Genomic DNA, 18861 nt, shown 5'->3' on the forward strand with positions numbered 1-18861 from the left:
ATTTGAGATCATGGAACAGATCTGTATCATTTTTCAGGAAGTGGGAGACAGTGTCTCACTCTGTTGCCCAGGCTGGTGCAGTGGCACAATCACAGCTGACTGCAGCCTCGACCTCCCGGGCTCAAGTGATCCTCCCACCTCAGCCTCCCGAGTGAGTAGCTGGGAATACAGGCGCGAGCTACCACACCCAGCTAGTTTGTTAAGTTTGTTGTTGTTGTTGTTGTTGAACGGCTGTTGCCCAGGCTGGTCTTGAACTCCTGGCCTCAAGTGATCCGCCCACTTCCGCCTCCCAAAGTGCTGGAATTACAAGCATGAGTCATCGAGCCTGGCCCAGATCTGTATCCTGATTGCGGCGATGATCGCATGGATGGATCTACCTGTGTGATACGATGACACAGAACCACATACACCCTTTATGCCAATGTCGAACTCCTGGTTTTGATATTTTACTACAGTTACATGAGATGTCACCCAGCGGGGAAACTGGGTGGACAGCAGGGGACAAGGGCATCCTGGGGCTCCTCCCCTGGCAGCTTCTACTCTGGGCCCCCATGGAGCTGGCGAGACGCTGAGAGCTGCACTACAGCAGAGGCCCTTCCTTCCTGTCTTTTCCTGACGTCCCATCTGTACTAGAAGTTTCCCCTGTTGTGCAGCTCCCTCACCACGCAGCCCTGAATGAGCTCCCCCACTTCTAACTGCCTCCTAGAAGCCCCAACTTCACAGGGGCTACCTAGGGTTGGCTGGCATTAACTGGGAAAGGCCTCGAGGGAATAAAGATGATTGAACCTCAACAACAAACGAAATGCAGTATTGCTTAAAAGAGAGGTAGAGCTGGGCACAGTGGCTCACGCCTGTAATCCCAGCACTTCGTGAGGCCGAGGTGGGGGGATCACTTGAGGTCAGGAGTTCGAGACCAGCTTGGCCAACATGGTGAAACCTCGTCTGTACTAAAATACAAAAAATTAGCCGGGTGTGGTGGCACACGCCTGTAGTCCCAGCTATTTGGGAGGCTGAGGCAGGAGAATCACTTGAACCTGGGAGGCGGAGGTTGCAGTGAGCCGAGATCGCGCCACTGCACTCCAGCCTGGGTGACAGAGTGAGACTCCGTCTCCAAAAAAAAAAGAGAGAAGACACACACAAGGAAGTGTGTGACAATGGAGGCAGACATGGCAGCAATGCAGCTACCATCTACGGAATACTAAGGATTGCCGGGAGCCACCAGAAGCTGGAAGAGAGGCCTAGAAGGATCCTCCCCTTTTTTTTACTTTTTTTTTTTTTTTTTTTTTTTTTTTTTTTAGACAGAGTCTCACTCTGTTGCCCACACTGGAGTGCAGTGCTGCGATCATAGCTCACTGCAGCCTTCAAGTGAGCTCAAGCAATCCTCCCACCTCCAGCCTCCCGAGTAGCTGGGAGCACAGGTGGGTGCCACCACATATGGCTAATTATTGTTTTTTGTTTGTTTGTTTATTTTTTGAGACACAGTTTCGCTCTTGTCACCCAGGATGGAGTGCAGTGGCACGATCTTGGCTCACTGCAACCTCCGCCTCCCGAGTTCAAGCAATTTTCCTGCCTCAGCCTGGGATTACAGCCGTGCACTACCACGTCCAGCTTTTTTTTTTTTTTTTTTTTGGTATTTTTAGTAGAGACGGTGTTTCACCACGTTACCCAGGCTGGTCTCGAAATCCTGGCCTTAAGCTATCCTCCTGCCTCAGCCTCCCACAGTGCTGGGATTACAGGCGTGAGCCACCACGCCTGGACAACTTCTGTTGCTTTTAAGACCCCGATCTGCAGTCATTGTTACAGCAGCCCTAGGACCCTAATATTGTTTGATTCTGTCTCTTTGGTGGTCTCTGGTAAGTGGAGTCTTTTGCTAAGGACGCCCAGAGAAGACAGTCTCCACCATCCCGGAACTGTGCACACGGCTGGCTCACAGAGAAAATACATCCCAGATTGATTCCATCTGGGAAGTGAAGGATTGTCTTCTACAAAAGGAAACAGGAGACACAACCTCAAGCATGCAACATTTTGCTGTGTGTAAAAAAGGAGCTGGAAAACAAGCAAACAAAAATCCCATTCTGGCGCCGCCACACAAATGCACTGCCCAGGGCACAGTCTCCCCTCGGCGCCCGCCTGCTCATCAGAAGATGGCCAGTCAGCTGGCTGGAAGCTTAGTCACGGCCCTTCTAACCCCTCCACACTGCCAAGTTCAAAGGAGGCTAGAAATGAGACCTACTGGACCTTGGCAGGGAGACACCCTGCCTGAGCAGGTGGGCAGGTGGGTCACAGGGAGAGAGTGCTTTAATTTCTTTTTTTCTTTTTCTTTCTTTTTTTTTTTTTTAAAGACAAAATCTCTTAAACTAAAGAGCTTCTGCACAGCAAAAGAAACTACCATCAGAGTGAACAGGCAACCTACAGAATGGGAGAAAATTTTTGCAACCTACTCATCTGACAAAGGGCTAATATCCAGAATCTACAATGAACTCAAACAAATGTACAAGAAAAAAACAAACAACCCCATGAAAAAGTGTGCAAAGGATATGAACAGACACTTCTCAAAAGAAGACATTTATGCAGCCAAAAAACACATGAAAAAATGCTCACCATCACTGGCCATCAGAGAAATGCAAATCAAAACCACAATGAGATACCATCTCACAACAGTTAGAATGGTGATCATTAAAAAGTCAGGAAACAACAGGTGCTGGAGAGGATGTGGAGAAATAGGAACACTTTTACACTGTTGGTGGGACTGTAAACTAGTTCAACCATTGTGGAAGTCAGTGTGGCGATTCCTCAAGGATCTAGAACTAGAAATACCATTTGACCCAGCCATCCCATTACTGGCTATATACCCAAAGGACTATAAATCATGCTGCTATAAAGACACATGCACACGTATGTTTATAGCTGCACTATTCACCATAGCAAAGACTTGGAAGCAACCTAAATGTCCAACAATGATAGACTGGATTAAGAAAATGTGGCACATATACACCATGGAATACTATGCAGCCATAAAAAATGATGAGTTCATGTCCTTTGTAGGGACATGGATGAAACTGGAAACCATCATTCTCAGCAAACTATCGCAAGGACAAAAAACCAAACACCGCATGTTCTCACTCATAGGTGGGAATTGAACAATGAGAACACATGGACACAGGAAGGGGAACATCACACACCGGGGACTGTTGTGGGGTGCGGGGCGGGAGGAGGGATAGCATTAGGAGATATACCTAATGCTAAATGACGACTTAATGGGTGCAGCACACCAACATGGCACATGTATACATATGTAACAAACCTGCACATTGTGCACATGTACCCTAAAAGTTAAAGTATAATAATAATAAAATGAAAAAAAAAGCTAAAAAATAAAAAAAAGAATCTCCCTCTGTCGCCCAGGCTGGAGTGCAGTGGCACAATTTTGGCTCATTGCAATCTCTGCCTCCCAGTTTCAAGCGATTCTCCTACCTTAGCCTCCTGAGTAGCTGGGTTTACAGGCGTGTGCCACCGCTCCATGCTAATTTTTGTATTTTTTGTAGAGATAGGGTTTCACCATGTTGGCCAGGCTGGTCTCGAACTCCTGACCTCAAGTGATCCGCCCACCTCAGTCTCCCAAAGTGCTGGGATGACAGGCATGAACTTCCATGCCCGGCCTAATGTCTCCTTTTCCTTCCTCCCTTCCTTCCTTCCTCCCTCCCTTCCTTCCTTCCTCTTTTTCCTCCTTCCTTCCTTTCCTTCCTTCCTTTCCCTCCTTCCTTCCTTCCTTTCCCTCCTTCCTTCCTTCTTTCTCTCCTTCCTTCCTTCTTTCTCTCTCTCCTTCCTTCCTTCTTTCCTTCTTCCCTCCCTCCTCCCCTTTTCTTCCTTCTTTCCTTCCTCCCTCCCTTCCTTCCTTCCTTTCTTTTCCTTCCTTCCTTTCTTTCCTTTCTTTCTCTCTTTCCTTCTTTCTCTCCTTCCTTCCTTCTTTCTCTATCTCCTTCCTTCCTTCCTTCCTCCCTCCCTCCCTTTTGCTCTTCCTTCCTTCTTTGACAGGGTCTCACTCTGTTGCCCAGGCTGGAGTGCAGTGGTTCAGTCATAGCTCACTGCAGCCTCCAACTGCTGAGCTCAAGCAATCCTCCCACCTCAGCCTCCTGAGTATCTGGGACTACAGGCATGTGACCCAAAACTTGGCTATTAGATTTTTTTTTTTTTTTGAGATGGAGTCTTGTTCTGTCACCAGGCTGGAGTGCAGTGTCGTGATCTCGGCTCACTGCAACCTCCACTCCTGGGTGCAAGTGATTCTCCTACCTCAGCCTCCTGAGTAGCTGGGACTACAGGTGTGCACCACCACACCCAGCTAATTTTTGTATTTTTAATAGAGACGGGGTTTCACTGCATTAGCCAGTTTGTTCTCAATCTCTTGACCTTGTGATCCACCTGCCTCGGCCTCCCAAAGTGCTGGCATTACAGACATGAGCCACTGCGCCCGGCCTAACAAAATTTTTGTGTAGAGATGGGGGTCTCACTATGTTGTCCAGGCTGGTCTTGAACTCCTGGGTTCCAGTGATTGTCCCACCTCAGTCTCCTAAGTAGCTGGGATTTTTTTTCTTATTTTTTGTACAGACAGGGTCTCGCTATGTTGCCCAGGCTGGTCTCCAACTCCTGGGCTCAAGCAATTCTCCTGCCTCAGCCTCCCAAAGTGCTGGGATTACAGGTGTGCGCCACCGCACCCAGCTGAATGTCCTAATTCCTGAAAAGGCTTTCAGTTCTCTTGGCTTCTCCTGAATGAAGGCAAACTCTTCCAGATGTCTCTCTCTTGTTATTCACTATCCTGCATCATTTTCTCTCCTGGATTTAGGATAAGAAGTGTACTACTGGGGGCTGGGTGCTGTGGCTCACGCCTGTAATCCCAGGACTTTGGGAGGCTGAGGCAGGTGGATCACAAGCTCAGGAGATCGAGACCATCCTGGCTAACGTGGTGAAACGCCATCTCTACTAAAAATACAAAAAATTAGCCAGGCGTGGTGGCGGGCATCTGTAGTCCCAGCTACTCAGGAGGCTGAGGCAGGAGAATGGCATAAACCCGGGAGGCAGAGCTTGCAGTGAGCCGAGATTGCGCCACTGAACTCCAGCCTGGGCGACAGAGTGAGATTCTGTCTCAAAAAAAAAAAAAAAAGTCAGCTACTGGGGCTTGGATTTTGCCTGGCACTTCCATCGATACCCCCATCACCATCACCATCACAATCTTCATCATTTAATAAGTACAGCAATATTACATAACTATTTTTTTTTTTTATAGAGTCTGGTTCTGTCTCCTAGGCTGGAGTGCAGTGGTGTGATCACAGCTCACTGCAGCCTCAACCTCCTGGGCTCAAGCAATCCTCCCACCTTAGCCTCCGGAGTAGCTGGGACTACATGTGCGCACCACCGTGCCCAGTTAATGTTTTTACATATATGTATTTTTTGGAGAGACAGGATCTCACTATGCTGCCCAAGCTGGTCTTGAACTCCTGGGCTCAAGTGATCCTCCTGCCTCAGCCTCCCAAAGTGTTGGGATTATAGGTGTGAGCCACCATGCCAAGCCTTGAATTGCTCACTTTAAAATGGTTAATTTCATGTGAATTTCACCTCAATAAATTAAAAAGGTATGAAACCACACAGCAGAGAAATTCCATGTCTCATTATTTCTAGTGCTATTGGCGCCTAAAAGCCCATTGTCCTTTGCTGGAAGCTCACTGTGTCCACCAGACGTGTTCAGGCCTCAGTAACCATTCCCGGAGCCTCCCGTGGTAACCCTTGCTGGGCAGAGTTTCGGCCTCACTGTCCTCCCCTCCCATTTCAGTGTCATGTCTGACACATCCTGTTAACACTAAAGTTGAAATGGGACAGGATGTCCACAGACTTGAAGGCTCTCCAAGTGGTGACTCGGGGAGGTGGATTCTTGCTGTACCTGCCCCACAGAGGCTGGGACAGCTCCTGGTTGCTTCCAGAAAACCGACAGACAGAACTGCCAGGCCACATACTCAGGTACTCTCTCCAGAGAGCATGACAAGGCAGCTTTCTAATTGCTGGGTGGCCGCCGAGTGCTGTGACCCTCTGAGACACGTCACCCAGCAGGTTCTCCAAGAAGCACCAATTGTCTCACAAGCTGTAGGAGGCCCCAGCAGGACCAACCTGGCCACAAGTGAGGAAGGGGATCTGGGAGCCCTCTTGGCAAGGCCAGAAAGAAACTGAGAGCAAAAAGCAGCCAAAAATGTTCCCAGCAGAGGCACCCAAACAAATCCTTGTATGTGAATACTCACAGCAGCACTGTTCACAATAACCAAAAGGTGGGAACAGGCCGTATGTCCATCCACAGATGGAGAAACAAATGGTAATAAATCCACACAGTGGAATACTACTCGGCCACCAAAAGGAAGGAAGCGGCTGGGTGAGGGGGCTCACACCTGTAATCCCAGCGCTTTGGGAGGCCCAGGTAGGAGAATCACATGACCCCAGGAGTTCAAGACCAGCCTGGACAACATAGCAAGACCGCATTTATAAAAAATAAAATAAAATATAGCCAGGCATAGTGTCACGCACCTGTGGTCCCAGCTACTCAGGGAGCTGAGGTGGGAGAATCACTCGAGCCCAGGAGGTTGAGGTTGGCCAGAGTTGTGATCATGCCACTGCACTCTACCCTAGGTGACAGAGTGAGACCCTGTCTCAAACAAAAAAGAGGGAAGGAAGAGCTGATGCATGAAACAATGTGAATGAATTTCAGAAACATTATCTTTTTTTTTTTTTTTTTTTTTTTAGACGAAGTCTCGCTGTGTTGCCAGGCTGGAGTTCAGTGGCGTGATCTCGGCTTACTGCAACCTCCACCTCCTGGGTTCAAGTGATTCTCCTGCCTCAGCCTCCCGAGTAGCTGGGACCACAGGTGCTGCACCACCAGGCCCAGCTAATTTTTATTTTTAGTAGAGACAGGGTTTTACCATGTTGGTCAGGACGGTCTCAATCCCTTAACTTTGTGATCCACCCACCTCGGCCTCCCAAAGTGCTGGGATTACAGGCGTAAGCCACCGCTCCCGGCCAGCAACATTATCTTCAATAGAGATGGGGTCTTGCTATATTGCCCAGGCTGGTCTCAGACTCCTGACCTCCACTGATCTTCCTGCCTCAGCCTGTGAAAGTGCTGGGATTATGGGAATGAGCCACCATGCCTGGCCCAAAAACATGAGGCTAAGTAGAAGAAGCCAAACACAAAGACCACATATTGTATGATTCCATTTATAGGAAATATCTAGAATAAGTAAATCCATAGAGACAGAAAGCAAATTGATGGTTGCCAGGGGCTGGGGTGGGAGTAGAACGATGAGAAACTGCTTAATGGGAATGAGGTTTCCTTTTCATGATGTTAAAACATTTTGGAACAGCCGGGCACAGTGGCTACAGCCTGCAACCCCAGCACTTTGGGAGGCCAAGGTGAGAGAATCACTTGAGGCCAGGAGTTCGAGAGCAGCCTGGGCAATATAGTGAGATCTTGTCTCTACTAAAAACTTAAATATACAGGCCGGGCGCGGTGGCTCATGCCTGTAATCCCCGCACTTTGGGAGGCCGAGGCGGGTGGATCACAAGGTCAGGAGTTCGAGACCAGCCTGACCAACATGGTGAGACCCCCGTCTCTACTAAATTAGCCGGGCTTGGTGGCACGTGTCTGTAATCTCAGCTACTCAGGAGGCAGAGGCAGAAGAATTGCTTGAATCCAGGAGGCAGTGGTTGCAGTGAGCCGAGATGGCACTATTGCACTCCAGCCTGGGTGACAGAGGGAGACTCCATCTCAAAAAAAAAAATTAAATATACATATATACACGTATATATATTGATACTAGATAGAAGAGGTGGTGGCAGAACAGTGGGAATGCACTAAATGCCACTGAACTGTATATTTTGAAATGGTTATTATTAATGTTTTGCATATATAAAACATACACACACACACACACACACACATATATATATTTTTTGTTTGTTTGCTTTGTTTTTGTTTTTGTTTTTGAGATGGAGTCTCACTCTGTCACCCAGGCTGGAGTGCAGTGGCAAGATCTCCGCTCACTGCAACCTCCGCCTCCCAGGTTCAAGCGATTCTCCCACCTCGGTCTCCCAAGGAGCTGGGATTACAGGCATGTGCCACCACGCCCAGCTAATTTTTGTATTTTTAGTAGAGATGGGGTTTTGCCATGTTGGCCAGTCTGGTCTCAAACTCCTGATCTCAGGTAATGCACCCGCCTAGGCCTCCCAAAGTGCAGGGATTACAGGTGTGAGCCACTGTGCCTGACCCTTTTCTTTTTCTTTTCTTTTTTTTTTTTTTTTGAGACAGGGTCTCACTCTGTCTCCCAGGCTGGAGTGCAATGGCACAATCTTGGCTCACTGAAAACTCTGCCTCCCAGGCTCAAGCGATCCTCCCACTTAAGCCTCCCGAATAGCTGGGACTGCAGACACATGCCACCACTCTGGCCAATTTTTGTATTTTTTTGTAGAGACAGGGTTTCACCATGTTACCCAAGTTGGTCTCGAACTCCTAGGTTCAACTAATTTGCCTGCCTCGACTTCCCAAAGTGCTAGGATTACAGGCATGAGCCACCCACCACACCCAGCCATATATATTTTATGTGACAAAATATATAACATATATATTTTATTGTGATAAAATATGTGTACATTTTACCATTTTAACCACTTGTAAGCGACCAGTTGAGTGGCACTAAGCACATTCACAGTGTTGTGCAACCATCACCACCATCCATCTCCAGAACTTCCTTATCTTCCCAATCTGAAACTCTGCACCCGTCAAACACTCCCCATTCTCCTTCCTCCCAGCCCCCTACAACCACCATACCTTCTATCTCTATGAATTTTACTGCTCTAGGGACCTCATATAACTGGGATCGTATAGCATTAGTCCTTTTGTGACTAAAATGGTTGATATGGTTTGGCTGTGTTCCCACACAAATCTCATCTTTTTTTTTTTTTTTCTTTTTTTGAGATGAATTCTCGCTCTTGTCGCCCAGGCTGGAGGGCAGTGGCATGATCTTGGCTCATGCAACCTCCGCCTCCCGAGTTCAAGCAGTTCTCGCGAGTAGCTGGGATGACAGGAACCTGACACCACACCCACCTAATTTTTGTATTTTTAGTAGAGATGGTGTTTCACCATGTTGGCCAGGTTGGTCTCGAACTCCTGACCTCAGGTGATCCGCCTGCCTCGGCCTCCCAAAGTGCTGGGATTACAGGTGTGAGCCACTGCACTCGGCCCCAAATCTCATCTTGAATTGTAGCTCCCATAATTCCCATGTGTTGTGTGAGAGACCCGGTGGGAGATAACTGAATCATGGGGGTGGTTTCCCCCATGCTGTTCTCATGGTATGTCTCACGAGATCTGATGGTTCTAGAAGGGGAAACCCCTTTCACTTGGCTCTCAGTTTCTCTCTTTGCCTGCTGCTATGTAAGACTTGCCTTTGTTCTTCCCTCACTTTCCACCATGATTGTGAGGCCTCCCCAGCCACATGGAACTGTAAGTCCACTAAACCTCTTTTTCTTTTCTTTTATTTTTTGAGACGGTCTCACTTTTGTCTCCCAGGCTGCAGTGCAGTGGCATGATCTTGGTTCACTGCAACCTCTGCCTCCCGGGTTCAAGCGATTCTCCTGCCTCAGCACCCCGAGTAGCTGCAATTACAAGCGCCTGCCACCATGCCCGGCTAGTTGTTGTATTTTTAGTAGAGACAGGGTTTCACCATGTTGGCCAGGCTGGTCTCGAACTCCTGACCTCAGGTGATCCACCTGCCTCGGCCTCCCAAAGTACTGGGATTACAGAAGTGAACCACCGCACCCAGCCTAAACCTCTTTTTCTTTATAAATTACACAGTCTCGGGTATGTCTTTATCAGCAGCATGAAAACGGACTAATACAATGGTTAATATCATGTTGTGTGAATTTCACCTGTATTTCAAAAATTTTCACAATCCCAGCACTTTTGGAGGCCGAGGCGGGCAGATCATTTCAGGTCAGGAGTTTGAGACCAGCCTGGCCAATATGGTGAAACCCCGTCTCTACTAAAAAACACAAAAATTAGCCGGGCATGGTGGCGGGTGCCTGTAATCTGAGCTACTTGGGAGGCTGAGGCAGGAGAATTGCTCCAATCTGGGAAGCAGAGGTTGCAGTGAGCCGAGATGGCGCGACTGCACTCCAGCCTGAGTGGACAGAGAGAGAGTCCGTCTCAAAAAAACAAAAACAACAACAATATCAGCCTCGTCTTTACCCTATTTTAGCCAAGGACTGAATCTGAGTTGAGGTGACCACAACCCCTTCTGAATCTACTCACCACTGTCATCCCCAGGGACAAGACTGACTTGGCAGGGGATCAGAATCAGTGCGTACGGTGGCAGCTGCAGCCAAGCCCTGTCCTTAGGGGGCCTGTGAGATCCTGGTAGGAGGAAATGCTGTCCAGAGCCTCAGACAACGACTCCATGGGCAGATCTCAAGTTTAAGTGCATAAGAAAAGTGGCTCCACTGTGGTTTCCTCTCTAAGTGTTCAAGAGCAGACAGCTCATTTCTGCTAATGGAAAGGGCTGTATCCGCTTCCCGGATTTTGTGAATGGGGTAAAAACCCATGAGAAAAATCTTCTATGCAGCCCTGCCAATTGCACCCCATCTATTTGTTTTCTGAGCATAACTTCAGGTTAATTATTTATAATGGGGCTACAAATGAAGTGTTAGGAGTAGACAGGCTTCCTCTTCTAATTGCCAGGTTTCTGAGAAGGAGTCTTAGCCTGGAGGGATTTTTGTGATGAGAATGAAAGAAAATGGAAAAAGGTGAAATGTGCTTTGGCCTGCTCCAGAAAACAGCCACAGTACTACCGAGAATTAAAAGGAAAAATTACGGCTGGGCGCAGTGGCTCACACGTGTAATCCTAGCACTTTGGGAGGCCAAAGCGGGCAGATCACGAGGTCAATAGATTGAGACCATCCTGGCCAACATGGTGAAACCCTGTCTCTACTAAAAATACAAAAATTAGCTGGGCATGGTGGCGGGTCCCTGTAGTTCCAGCTACTTGGGAGGCTGAGGCAGGAGAATCACTTGAACCCGGGAGGCAGAGGTTGCAGTGAACCGATATCGCACGCTCCATACTGGCGACAGAGCAAAAACTCCATCTCAAAAAAAAAAAAAAAAAGGAAAAATTAATCTCTAGTAACCAGATTATGGAAAGAGAGGGAAGACCGAGGAAAGATGGTTTCACTGAAAGTCCTCTTGCTACTTGGACTTGGACTTTGTTTTTCATTTGTTTTTTGTTTTGTTTTGTTTTGTTTTGTTTGTGACAGAGTCTCACACTATTGCCCAGGCTGCAGTGCAGTGCAGTGCCACGATCTCGGCTCACTGCAACCTCTGCCTCCCGAGCTCAAGCAATTCTTCTGCCTCAGCCTCCTGAGTAGCTGGGACCACAAGCATGCACCACCACACCTGGCTAATTTTTGTATTTTTAGTAGAGATGGGGTTTCGCCATGCTGGCCAGGCTGGTCTTGAACTCCTGGCCTCAAGTGATCCACCCACCTTGGCCTCCCAAAGTGCAGGGATTACAGGTGTGGCCCACCACGCCCGGCCTGCTACTTGGACTTTATCTGAATCTCCCACAGCCAGAAGTCAAGGGGAGCTGCCCACTAAGTCACCTGCCTGATGCGGAGCGGATGTGTTGCAGATTCTGAAGATGAAACGGCACAAGCCCATCTTCTGGTGGAAATTCCAGAGCCAGGGAAGGGGCTGGGGTGGAAGAGACTTGGCCATGATATCAAACTGAACTTCGGGCAGGGAATGGTGGCTCATGCCTATAATCCCAGCACTTTGGGAGGCTAAGGCAGGTGGATCACTTGAGGCCAGGAGTTCAAGACCAGCCTGGGCAACATAGCAAGACTCCATCTCTACAATAATAAGTTTTAAAAACCTAGCCTGGGCTGGGGGTGGTGGCTCACACCTATAATCCCAGCACTTTGGGGGGCCGAGGCTGGCGGATCACGAGGTCAGGAGATCGAGACCATCCTGGCTAACATGGTGAAACCCCGTCTCTACTAAAAAATACAAAAAATTAGCCAGGCGTTGTGGCAGGCACCTGTAGTCCCAGCTACTCAGCAGGCTGAGGCAGGAGAATGGCATGAACCCGGGAGGCAGTGCTTGTAGGGTGCCAAGATGGCGCCACCGCACTCCAGCCTGGGCAACAGAGCGAGACTCCATCTCAAAAAAACAACAACAAAGAAAACCTAGCCTGATACGGTGGCTCATGCCAGTAGTCCTAGATATTCAGGAGGCCAGGGTGAGAGGATCACTTGAGACCAAGAGTTGGAGGCTGCAGTGAGCTAAGATCACACCACTGCACTCTAGCCTGGGCAACAGAGTGAGACCCTGTCTCAAAAAAAAAAAAAAAAAAAAAAAAAGAAGGCTGGGCGAAGTGGCTCACACCTATAATCCCAGAACTTTGGGAGGTTGAGTTGGGCAGATCACTTGAGGTCAGGAGTTCAAGACCAGCCTGGCCAAGATGGTGAAACCTCATCTCTACTAAAAATACAAAAATTAGCCGGGTGTGGTGGTGGGTACCTGTAATCTCAGCTACTCAGGAGGCTGAGGCAGGAGAATTGCTTGAACTTGGGAGGCGGAGGTTGCAATGAGCTGAGATCGCACCACTGCACTCCAGTGGGTGACTGAGCAAGACTGTCTCAAAAAAAAAAAAAAAAGTTCTATGGAGAGGACATGATTAGTAGCTTAATTTCGATTGCTGGAAGATTTTCCAATCCTGCCATGTAGGTCTGAGATTCTGTGGATTCTGAGGCTCATGTTACTTCCTCACATTGCACTCTGTGCATCTCAGCAAGAATTATTCATTTAGGGGTGAAATTTAATAACACATACATTTATTCTAGACATTGCATTTGCCTGTCCCAGAGGATCAAAACAAAGTGTCTCCTAGAAAACCCAAGACAAGGAGTGAAGATGAGGCTGTGAGTCTCAGGTCAAGAAACACCACAAAAGACTGAAGACACGGAAAGATGATAAAGTGTGATGCCTACCCTCTTCTGATGTTAACCGCCAAACCACCAGCCCCCTGAATGGAGTGGGCACCATAGTGCACAGGAACAAGTTGGTAATGTCGTTTGCAACCAGGCACAGTGGCTGATGCCTGTAATCCCAGCACTTTGGGAGACCAAAGCAGGCGAATCACTTGAGGTCAGGAGTTCGAGACCAGCCTCACCAAGAGTGTGAAACCCCATCTCTACTAAAAATACAAAAATTAGCCAGGTGTGGTGTACACCTACAGTCCCAGCTACTCAGGAGGCTGAGGCAGGAGGATTGCTTGAGCCTGGAAGCTGGAGGCTGCAGTGAGCTATGATGGCCCCACTACACTACACCTGGGCGACAGGGCAAGACCCTGTCTCAATACCAAACAAACAAAAAAGGCCGGGAACAGTGGCTCACGCCTGTAATCCCCGTATTTTGGGAGGACAAGGCAGGTGGGTCACTTGACGTCAGGAGTTCGAGACCAGCCTGTCCAACATGGTGAAACCCTGTCTCTACTAAAAATACAAAAATTAGCAGGAGTGGTGGTGCACACCTGTAATCCCAGCTACTCAGGAGGCTGAGGCGGGAGAATCACATGAACTCAAGAGGCAGAGGTTGCAGTGAGCCGAGATCACACCCCTACACCCCAGCTTTTATTTATTTCATTTTATTTATTTATTTATTTATTTATTTATTTATTTATTTTTGGAGATGGAGTCTCACTCTCTCGCCCAGGCTGGAGTGCAGTGGTGTGATCTTCGCTCACTGCAAGCTCCGCCTCTGGGATTCCCGCCATTCTCCTGCCTCAGCCTCCCAAGTAGCTGGGACTACAGGCGCCCGCCACCAAGCCCGGCTAATTTTTTTGTATTTTTAATAGAGACGGGGTTTCATTGTGTTGGCCAGGATGGTCTCGATCTCCTGACCTCGTGATTCACCCGCCTCGGCCTCCCAAAGTGCTGGGATTACAGGCGTGAGCCACCGCACCTGGCCCCCAGCTTTTATTTTTATTTTATTTTATTTTATTTTGGGACGGAGTCTCACTCTGTCATCCAGGCTCCATCTCAGCTCACTGCAAGCTCCGCCTCCCAGATTCACGCCATTCTCCTGCCTCAGCCTCCCAAGTAGCTGGGACTACAGGTGCCCGCCACCATGCCCAGCTAATTTTTTGTATTTTTAGTAGAGACGGGGTTTCACCGTGTCAGCCAGGATGGTCTCGATCTCCTGACCTCGTGATCCACCAGCCTCGGCCTCCCAAAGTGCTGGGATTACAGGTGTGAGCCACTGCGCCCGGCCATTTTTTAAGAGTGAGAGTCTCTCTATCTTTTTATTTTATTTTATTTTATTTTATTTTAAGTTCTGGGATACGTGTGCAGGATGTGGCAGGTTTGTTACCTAGTTAAACATGCTCTATCTCTTTAAAAAATAAAAAATAAAAGACCGGGCACGGTGGCTCACACCTGTAATCCCAGCACTTTGGGAGGCCAACGTGGGCAGATCACCTGAGGTTAGGAATTCGAGACCAGCCTGACCAAGATGAAGAAACCCTTCTCTACTAAAAATACAAAATTAGTCAGGCATGGTGGCACATGCCTGTAATCCCAGCTACTCAGGAGGCTGAGGCAGAGGAATCGCTTGAACCCGGGATGTGGAGGTTGTGGTGAGCCGAGATTGCACCATTGCATTCCAGCCTGGGCAACAAGAGCGAAACTCCATCTCAAAAAAATAAAATAAATTTTTAAAAACTGGGCCCGATGAGTCACTCCTGTAATCCCAGCACTTGGGAGGTCAAGGTGGGAGAATCACTTGACCCCAGGAGTTCGAGACCAGCCTGGGCAACGTCGTGACACCCTGTCTCTACAAAAAAAAATTAAAATTAGCTGAATGTGGCTAAGCTAATTTTTAAAAAATTAAGATCATAGTTCACTTAGGCTTCCAAATCCCGTCCTCAAGTGTTCCTCTCACCTCAGCCTCCCAAATAGGTAGGCCTACAGGCATGTGCCGCCATATCAGACTAGTGTTTTTTTTTTTTAATTATTAAATGGTGTGCACCTGTAGTGTCAGCTATTTGGGAGGCTGAGGCAGGAGGATGACTTGATCCCAGGAGGTCAAGGCTGCAGTGAGCCCTGATCATGCCAGTGCATGCCAGCCTGGGTAACAGAGTGAGACACTGTCTCCAAAAAAAAAAAAGAGAGAGAGAGAGAGAGATGATCCCCATGAGAGGATGTGGAGGCCTCATATGTTGCTGAAGGGATTGTAAAATGGGGCAGTTGCTATGAAACACGATCTGGCAGTTCCTCAGAAAGTTAAACATAGAATTACCGTACAACCCAGCAATTCCACTCCTAGGTACATACCCAAAAGAGCAGGAAACAGGTGCTCAGACGAACACACATACACACAAGTTTAAAGCAGCATTATTCACAATAGTCAAAAGGTGGAAACTTCGCAAATGTCCATAAATGGACAAACAGATAAACAAACTGAGGTATACAAACCATAGAATATTTCTCAGCCATAGAAAGGAAAGAAGTACTGACACGTGCTACCACGCAGATAAAGCTCGAAAACATTCTGCTGAGTGAAAGAAGCCAGAGGCAGAAAGCTACACATTATACAATTCCACTTATATAAAATATCTATAATAGGGCCAGGTGCGGTGGCTCATGCCTGTAATCCAAGCACTTTGGGAGGCTGAGGTGGGCAGATCACTTGAGGTCAGTGGTTTGAGACCAGCCTAACCAAGATGGTGAAACTCTGTCTCTACTAAAAATACGGAAATTAGCCACGCATGGTGGCACACACCTATAATCCTAGCTACTCTGGAGGCTGAGGCAGGAGAATTGCTTGAACCCCAGAGGCAGAGGTTGCAATGAGCCGAGATTGCGCCACTGCACTCCAGCCTGCGCAACACAGTGAGACTATCTCAAAAGATGTAAAATAACATATAAAATAGGCTGGGCATGGTGGCTCACACCCATAATCCCAGCACTTTGGGAGGCTGAGGCGTGTGGATCACCTGAGATCAGGAGTACGAGACCAGCCTGGCCAACATGGTGAAAACCTGTCTCTACTAAAAATACAAAAAAATTAGCCAGGTGTGGTGGTGGGCACCTATAATCTCCGCTCTTCGGGAGGTTGAGGCAGGAGAATTGTTTGAACCTGGGAAGTGGAGGTTGCAGTGAGCCAAGATCACGCCATTGCACTCCAGCCTGGGTGACAGAGCGAGACTCCATCTCAAAAAAAAAAACCTAACAAAACAAAACAAAACAAAAGAACTACCCAGGCATGGTGGCATATGGCAGTGGTCTCAGCTACTGGGAAGGGTGAGATGAGAGGATCACTTGAGCCTGGGAGGTCAAGGCTGCAGTGAGCTATGATTACATAACTGCACTCCAGCCTGGGCGACAAAGAAGGACCCTCTCTTAAGAAAAAAAAAAAAAAAAGCCAGGCGCGGTGGCTCACGCCTGTAATCCCAGCACTTTGGGAGGCTGAGGCTGGCGGATCATGAGGTCAAGAGATGGAGACCATCCTGGCTAACACACTGAAACCCCGTCTCTACTAAAAAAATTAGCTGGGCGTGGTGGTGGGCGCCTGTAGTCCCAGCTACTCAGGAGGCTGAGGCAGGAGAATGGCATGAACCCCAGGAGGCAGAGCTTGCCGTGAGCCGAGATCGTGCCACTGCACTCCAGCCTGGGCGACAGAGCAAGACTCTGTCTCGAAAAAAAAGAGGCCGGGCACAGTGGTTCACGCCTGCAGTCCCAGCACTTTGGAAGGCTGAGACGGGTGAATCACCTGAGGTCAGGAGTTTGAGACCAGCCTGACCAACATGGTGAAACCCCATCTCTACTAAAAATACAAAATTAGCAGGGTGTGGTGGTGCGTGCCTGTAATCCCAGCTATTTGGGAGGCTGAGGCAGAAAACCCTGTCTCTACTAAAAGTACAAAATTAGCAGGGCATGGTGGTGCATTCCTGTAATTCCAGCTATATGGGAGGCTGAGGAAAAAAAAAGAAAGAAAGAAAAAAAGCAGGATAAAAGAATGTATATATGGGCCAGGTGCTATGGCTCATGCGTGTAAGCCCAATACTTTGGGAGGCCAAGGCAGGAGGATAGCTTGAGCCCAGGAGTTCGAGACCAGCCTGGGCAACAAAGTGAGACCCTGTCTCTACAAAAAATTTTAAAAATTAGCCAGGCATGGTGGTGCACACCTGTGGTCCCAGCTACATACGAAGCTGAGGCAAGAGGATCGCTTGAGCCCAGGAGATTGAGGGCGCAGGGAGCCATGATCGTGCCACCACACTCCAGCCTGGGTGACAGAGTGAGACTCTGTCTCAGGAAAAAAAAAAAGATAATAATACAAGACAATAATAAAAAGAAAAGGGTTACATGTACAATATTTCCAACAAAACAGACCGAAATAATAACATTGGTTACTTTTGGTAAAATGACTTTAATTTTCCTGCCTCTATTTTCCTGAACTTTCTATATATTCTGCTATGTGGACATACATTCTAATAGTCAAAAAAATAAACTTTAGTTTTTAAATGCAGACTGGTTGAACAAAGGAAGAATTGCAGTTTCCACTGTAGCCTTTCTCCATAGTTGAAGGATGCAAGTGAAAAAATAAAACACAATGCTTTCAAATATAGCAACCTCCCTTAGCGATCTTTTCAGAGATGAGAAATTGTTCTCTGAAACAATTTTTTAAAAACAGTATTTACAGTCTGGGCAACATGGCAAAACCCCGTCTCTACTAAAAATACAAATATTAGCCGGGTGCGGTGGCACATGCCTGTAGTCTCAGCTACTCGGGAGGCTGAGGCAGAAGAATGGCTTGAGCCCAGGAGGCAGGGGTTGCAGAGAGCTAAGATCGCACCACTGCACTCCAACCTGGGCAACGGAGTGAGCCCCGTCTCCAAAAAAAAAAAAAAAAAGGAAAAACCGCATTTAAGAAAATATTGAAAATAAAGGTCATGCATGTTTATAGCATCCTGATTTGTCATCGTGTTTTGTTTTAGCCTGCCCTTACTCTCTTTAATTCCGCCATGAATCTGCAAGACATAGCCGGGGTGCAGCTAAAATTTCGCCTTTGCTAATAACTTAGTTTATGAATGTTACAAATATAACTGGTTTGTAAGAGAGAAAGCAGATTCTTGGCAAAAATTGAATGTCTCTTAAGATGGGCTTAATTAAAACAAAACACTCTAAATAAAATATCTCATCAGCACACATGAAAATTTTAGAAGCTGAATATGACAAAGTAGGTTTAAAGACATTAAGAATATTTAAAGCAAACATTCTTCTGTTTAAAGAGTCCCAAAATATGTCCGGGAGTACACAAAACATCAAGACCACAGAACAAAGACTCTGTGCTTGAAATTGTTAAATGCACCTTAAAAAGAACAAGAAATATGACTGTAATCTCGCTGAGATTAGACAAAACCAGGAAGGTGATAAAATAACAGAAGGAAGTACCTTTCAACATAAGAATTTTCAGCTTTATTCAAGAGACCTTAGCTCTAAAAAAAAAATTAAAAAAAAAAGTGACAGTGGCAAGTAGCCACATTCGAGGCAAAACTTAATGGTTAAAAGACAATTTAAGAAGTTATTTCCAGCCAGGCGCAGTGACTCACGCCTGTAATCCCAGCACTTTGGGAGGCCAAGGCGGACGGTTCACCTGAGGTCAGGAGTTCGAAACCACCCTGGCCAACATGGAGAAACCCCTCTCTACTAAAAATACTAAAATTAGGCCGGCATGGTGGCTCACGCCTGTAATCCCAGCACTTTGGGAGGCTGAGGAGG

This window comes from Homo sapiens, chromosome 7 (genome assembly GCF_000001405.40).
Source record: "Homo sapiens chromosome 7, GRCh38.p14 Primary Assembly".
Taxonomy (NCBI): Eukaryota; Metazoa; Chordata; class Mammalia; order Primates; family Hominidae; genus Homo; species Homo sapiens.